The sequence below is a fragment of the Homo sapiens genome, chromosome 11, assembly GCF_000001405.40.
Source record: "Homo sapiens chromosome 11, GRCh38.p14 Primary Assembly".
NCBI classification, from domain to species: domain Eukaryota; kingdom Metazoa; phylum Chordata; class Mammalia; order Primates; family Hominidae; genus Homo; species Homo sapiens.
In genome coordinates this window covers 6,679,580-6,685,845 of record NC_000011.10, presented here as the reverse complement: position 1 = coordinate 6,685,845, position 6,266 = coordinate 6,679,580, and the positions used below count along the sequence as shown (strand labels likewise).

Genomic DNA, 6,266 nt, shown 5'->3' with positions numbered 1-6,266 from the left:
GTAAAAAAAAATTGTTCCGTTAATATCAGCCCACAGAAATTGCAGAGAAAGCCAGTAGTAATGCTGCAAAAACAAAATGTAAGGAAATTGACATATAAAAAAGAATCAAATTTTGAAGACTACCAGAAGAGACAAGAGATGACGGTCTTGTATTGCCAGAAAAAGTCAAAAGGACAGTGTTTGATGCTACAATTGTTTTTACCAAGTGTAAGCATTTTCTAAGACAATGGATCAATGTTTCATTTCACCTAATTTTTGCTGAAGAAGAACCTCTTCACAAGTTTTTACCAATAGAAATTTATGATAAATTTTCTGGTGGGCCGGGCACAGTGGCTCACACCTGTAATCCCAGCACTTTGGGAGGCTGAGGCGGGCAGATCACCTGAGGTCAGGAGTTCGAGACCAGCCCGGCCAACATGGTGAAACCCCGTCTCTACTAAAAATACAAAAAAAATTAGCCAGGCATGGTGGTGGGCGCCTGTAATCCCAGTTACTTGTGAGGCTGAGGCATGAGAATCGCTTGAACCCAGGAGGTGGAGGTTGCAGTGAGCCGAGACCGCACCATTGCACTCCAGCCTGGGCAACAAGAAAGAAACTCCGTCTCAAAAAAATATATATATATCCTGGTGAAAACATCTTAGTGAAATTTTTCAACTGCAAAGACAATTGAAAACTACAAGAATTGCTCCCAAAGAAACAAAACATGAATGGTAATTGTAATTTCTGTAATTTATTGTAAATTTCTTTAATTGTGAAGTGTGATTTGTATAAATCTGTCAATGTATTTATATGTTCATGACTTTTCCTATTTGCATATTTGTTCCTTCATATTAAAGAAACTTTTCAAAATTAAAATTAGCAAAGAAGTGTTCTTTGGTCACCTATAAGCTGACAAAGTGACAAATCTATACGTCTACTGAATATGTACATGTAAAGAGGAGTGAATTCATTTCCTAAGACTGCTGTAACAAACTATCACAAACTGTGGAACTTAAAACAACAGAAATTTATTGTTTTGTGGCTCTGGAGGCTAGAAGTAAGAAAGCGATGTGTTAGCAGCAGGGTCATGCTCTCTGACAGATCTGAAAAAGAATGCGTTTTATACCTTTCCCTTGGCTTCAGGTGTGCTCCAGCAATCCTTGGTGTTCATTCATTGATTTGCAACTGCTTGACTCCATAATCTCTGCTTTCAAGGTCACATGGCTTTCTGCCTGTATGTCTCTGTCTTTACCTGGTCAGCATCACCCTGTGTCCATCTCTCTCTCTTCATGCGCATTTTTTTTTTTTTTTTTTTTGAGATAGAGCCTCACTCTGTCGCCCAGTCTAGAGTGCAGTGCCCGATCTCAGCTCACTGCAACCTCCACCTCCCGGGTTCAAGCTATTCTCCTGCCTCAGCCTCCCGAGTAGCTAGAATTACAGGCATGAGCCACCACGCCCGGCTAATTTTTGTGTTTTTAGTAGAGACGGGGTTTCGCCATGTTGGCCAGGCTGGTCTCGAATTCCTGACCTCAGGTGATCCGCCCGCCTCGGCCTCCCAAAGTGCTGGAATTACAGGAGTGAGCCACCGTGCCCGGCCTGCATATATGTATGTACGTATATATGTGTCTATCTATCTAGCTAGCTAGACACTAGGCATTTTGGATTAGGCGCCCACCTATGCCTGCATGACTTCATCTTAACAAATGACATCTGCAATGACCCTATTTCCACATAAGGTCACATTCTGAGTTACTGCAGGTTAGGACTTAACATAGCTTTTTGGGGACGGGAAGAATCATGGGGAAGACACAATTCAACCCATAACAAGGAATAATTTTGACAGTCATTGCCAATTTGCAGATGTTAAGGCTCAAAAACAAACTATAATATTATTGTTCATTAACACATAAATGTGTAGGTATGTTTTTTCCCCTTAAAAAGACACACTGGTGTAATTAAAAACAATCTACTACTTTTCCCTTTAGTGCTGTAATTTTTTTAACTGGAGTGATTACTTCAATAAAAGAAAAATTTCACTATCTGCGTTTCTTTTCCGGGCATCGTTATTATCCATCTCACCATTACTACTGAAAATCACTGTGTTAAAAACAATGCGTACAGGTGTCAACCAGGCCAGCTGGCCACTGCTGGACCCGGTAGGGCCGTCAGCCCGCAGGACCCCGAACCCTCCGGGTGCCTTTCTCTTCAGACGCTCTCTTTCCCAGGAGTCTCCGCGGCGGAGCGCCCCATCGCCCTAAATGCCACTGGCTGACGCAGCCCCAAAAAAAACCCGATGGCCCGCTTATCCCACACTAGGGGGCGCCTGGTTCTTCGGCCGCCACAGAGCGCTCTGGATGCCTGAAGCCCGCCCAGCTCGCCGCCTCTGGAAAAGCTCAACACCGTTTCTCCGCCCTTCCCGAGATTGCCAACGAGGCAGGCTCTGATGCGCATGCGCAAACACGTTCACCACGCTCCGAGCTAAGGCGCATGCGTTCCCTGAAATTGCCGCCACCGGCTCTACCTTCCAGTTTCCAGTTCCGGCCTCCAAGGGGCGGGCAGAAGTTGGAAACATGCGGCTGTCGGTCGCTGCAGCGATCTCCCATGGCCGCGTATTTCGCCGTATGGGCCTCGGTCCCGAGTCCCGCATCCATCTGTTGCGGAACTTGCTCACAGGGCTGGTGCGGCACGAACGCATCGAGGCACCATGGGCGCGTGTGGACGAAATGAGGGGCTACGCGGAGAAGGTGAGGAGCGCGGCCCTCTTGTCCACTCTGCGGGTCTGGTCTGAGGGGGCGGAGCCGGCTGCAAGTGGAAAGGGACCGGGACCAACCTGGTAAACCATTCCCCAAGTCTGAGTCCCCCAGAACCTTGGGCTGAACCCGCCCCTCCATCGCCTCTAATGGAAGACTGGTTAGGGCTGCGGAGTTAGGGGTGGCGTAGATTGGAGATGCTTGGCTAGTGGAAAGAATGGATTGCCTTCCGGCATTAGAGAAATTAGATTGGCACCTTGTTTTCTTGCTCGGTTGGATCCGTGATGTTATGTCCTCACAGCTCATCGACTATGGGAAGCTGGGAGACACTAACGAACGAGCCATGCGCATGGCTGACTTCTGGCTCACAGTGAGTGCGACCTATCTGCCTTCAAAATCCCACCCTTTGCTCCCTGGGGGTGGGGGTTGGAAAAAGGAGAACTATGCAGAATTAAACTTGGGTACTCACTTATGGGCCAGTGCTGCTAACTAAATTAGAAACTGTGTCTTAAGTTAGTTGAAGTCGATGTGAATATACCTCTGCACAACTGCCTATAAACGACCCCTTTGTGTAACACTGACTATGCCAGATTGGCGAGGGGAGGGGGAGGTCTTTCTATGTGTGGATGGACCTTACCTTTGGGAATGGTGTAAAGTTAAATGCCTCTGCAGTTTTGCCTGACTCTGCTGTCTCTTGGATAATTCTCCCTCTAGGAGAAGGATTTGATCCCAAAGCTGTTTCAAGTACTGGCCCCTCGGTACAAAGATCAAACTGGGGGCTACACAAGAATGCTGCAGATCCCAAATCGGAGTTTGGATCGGGCCAAGATGGCAGTGATCGAGTATAAAGGGAATTGCCTCCCACCCCTGCCTCTGCCTCGCAGAGACAGCCACCTTACACTCCTAAACCAGCTGCTGCAGGGTTTGCGGCAGGACCTCAGGCAAAGCCAGGAAGCAAGCAACCACAGCTCCCACACAGCTCAAACACCAGGGATTTAACTGGATCTGAAGAGTCTGCAGCCCTTAATCAGTACCCATGATCACAGGCCTTTGGAGCACTTTTACTCTCTGAGAAGAACTGGAGCTAGAGATGTAAAATGGACAGTCTTGATGGGGTTGAGAACCTTCTGGGGAGCCAGATGACCCTCTCTTTGCACAATAGATAAAAGTCTTTATATGAATATATATAAATTTATTTATTTTTTCCTTCCTGTGGGATTTCTGGAGAATGAGAATTATCCAAATGCTCAGTCTACCTGAGATAGTAAATTCATGGCTTATGCTTCTGGTCCTTAAATTTGGGTTATTTTTGGTTAGTGCAATTTTGTTTTTCTTAATGCCAGTTTACATGGGAATGCATCCTATAATTCCAAATGTTGCCAGAGGTGGTTGTGTTTTGACATCTGGTCTCCTAGAGATGAGTGCTTGGGATTTCTTAGAGAAAGATTACTTCCTGACAGGGGTAGGGGAGTGACAATCTGCAAGTGAAACTTCCTTAAACAATCTAGTACCCTGCGAACCTTCAGGGGATACTGCAATCAGTCCTCTGTTTTGAGGCAGGATCACACATTACCTTAATGTGTTCCCTTCAACCCCCTGAATGGGCCTGGGAGGAGAGGACCCAAGAACTCAGATGTTCCACCAGTTTGGCCAAAGGGGTGGAGACATTCAGCAGAGGATGTTGGGCTCCAGGATAAGCTCCTTCCTCTTGGTGAGGGGAAGGGGTAAGAAAGAGGGTCTATGCGAGAGAAGGATTAGGAAATTAAACCTCCTAGGAATTTCCTGGAAGTTTTTATTGTTGTCAAATCTGGCCTCTCTGGGAACCCAGAAAAGGGAAATCCGGCTTCAGAATGTGAGAAGCTGGGAGCCCCTTTCTTGGCACAGCCAGGCTGCCGTTCCCTTGGGTTCAGAGGCTTTAGTAGGGTAGTAGTTATGGAAGGACTTAGAAAGGAGCCATCAGTCTTGGTCCAAACACTTGATAGCAGTGCCTGATAATTGCCATATCCCCAGTAAAGTGGGTAGAAGAGATTTTATCTTAGGCTCTATCTTCTGAGTGTATTTGGCCCACTGAACCCATCCACTGTCTGAGATAATAAGTAAGAGTAAGGGTAAAGGGATCACTGGTGTAGCAGACATGGCTTCAGTGACAGAACGAACTATTCTGGTGCTAATTTAGCTGTAGCTGCCTTAGTCTGATACTCATCTACTCCCAACAGAGCTCTTTATCTCTTTTTCTCTACTATGGTTTGTTCTTCACACTATAGCCAGAAAGCTCTTATATTTTAAATGAAATATAGTAGACACTCAAAACATTTATGAAATAAAGCTACAACTCTGCTTCTGCTAAAAAATATACCCCTCTTCTGTCTTAGCATGAATATCCACCCTAGCTAGGTATCTAGGAGTCATACCTAACTTCTAGAGAAACCACTTTCCTTAAAACCACATCTTTATTTTAAATAGATGGATTGTGGCTGGGCTCCTGTAGCTTTTCCTCTTAGACCCCAGAAATATATCTCCCTTTGGGACTTCCAACAGTTCCCTACATGCTTTTTGAGCATCTGCTAGTTCCCAGCATCAATTTAGGCAGAAGGGATACAATATCCACTGTTCATCTAATAGAGACTAGAGATAAGAAACAACCTGTACCATCAATGAGCTCACAATAACAGGCCACTGCCACTACCACAGTGGCCTCAAGGGACACTGCTTCCCCTTTAATGTTTTGGTCCAAATAAAAGTACATGAATCCTAAAACATTTGCTAAAGGCTCAGGGATAACACAAGGAAAGTAACAGCATCAAGAATTTTACTGCCGGGTGCGGTGGCTCACGCCTGTAATCCCCACACTTTGGGAGGCCAAGGCAGGCAGATCATAAGGTCAGGAGATCAAGACCATCCTGGCTAACACGGTGAAACCCCGTCTCCACTAAAAATACAAAAAGTTAGCTGGGCGTGGTTGCGGGCACCTATAGTCCCAGCTACTCAGGAGGCTGAGGCAGGAGAATGGCGTGAACCTGGGAGGCGGAGCTTGCAGTGAGCTGAGATTGTGCCACTGCACTCCAGCCTGGGCAACAGAGCGAGACTCTGTCTCAAAAAAAAAGAATTTTACTAATCTGGCTTATAAATAACTTCTTCAACTAGTGGACTGCTCCCCCCAAGTCCATCTAGGCACCTCTTTAATGCGTTCCAAACCCAAGAGCACCACTCTCAAAGGTTCCCACCGTCTTGGGCGCCAGTTCTTTACAGTAAGGTAGACAAAGTAATGATCACTCCTTTCTCAAAAGGTAACAAGTTTAGGCTTTACAGTTAATACACTGTAAGCCTGATATCTTGGGGAGATGACTAGAAAAGTCAGAGATTATTTCCTTACCCTCATTGACACTGAAATTAACAAGTCATGTTTATTTCCGTAATGTTTCTCAAATCTGCAGTCAACTTGCTCCCTAGTAAGAAATCCAAGATACCTCTATCCTGGGTTACTTCAACAACCTCCTAACTTACCTCCCTCTACACTTTGGCTGTACTGACGGGAAT

General features: G+C 45.9%; 1 protein-coding gene across 1 annotated transcript, besides 2 other annotated features; it reads left to right on the top strand.

Annotated features, from left to right (window-relative positions):
• Positions 2,202 to 2,964: an enhancer, noted in NCBI's record as "NANOG-H3K27ac-H3K4me1 hESC enhancer chr11:6704113-6704875 (GRCh37/hg19 assembly coordinates)". NCBI's record gives its function as "activates a minimal SCP1, AML or CMV promoter by ChIP-STARR-seq in naive H9 embryonic stem cells {active_cell/tissue: H9 hESC(naive)}" and the evidence as "EXISTENCE:reporter gene assay evidence [ECO:0000049][PMID:30033119]".
• Positions 2,346 to 2,785: an enhancer, noted in NCBI's record as "active region_4355". NCBI's record gives its function as "activates an Ori minimal core promoter by ATAC-STARR-seq in GM12878 lymphoblastoid cells {active_cell/tissue: GM12878}" and the evidence as "EXISTENCE:reporter gene assay evidence [ECO:0000049][PMID:35858748]".
• On the top strand, positions 2,506 to 5,461 carry MRPL17 (mitochondrial ribosomal protein L17). Its single transcript, NM_022061.4, has 3 exons — positions 2,506 to 2,723; positions 3,031 to 3,099; positions 3,444 to 5,461. Exons 1-3 carry the CDS (start codon positions 2,550 to 2,552, stop codon positions 3,726 to 3,728), a joined length of 528 nt encoding a protein of 175 aa, NP_071344.1. The 5' UTR covers positions 2,506 to 2,549; the 3' UTR covers positions 3,729 to 5,461.
• Positions 5,462 to 6,266: the final 805 nt, after the last annotated feature.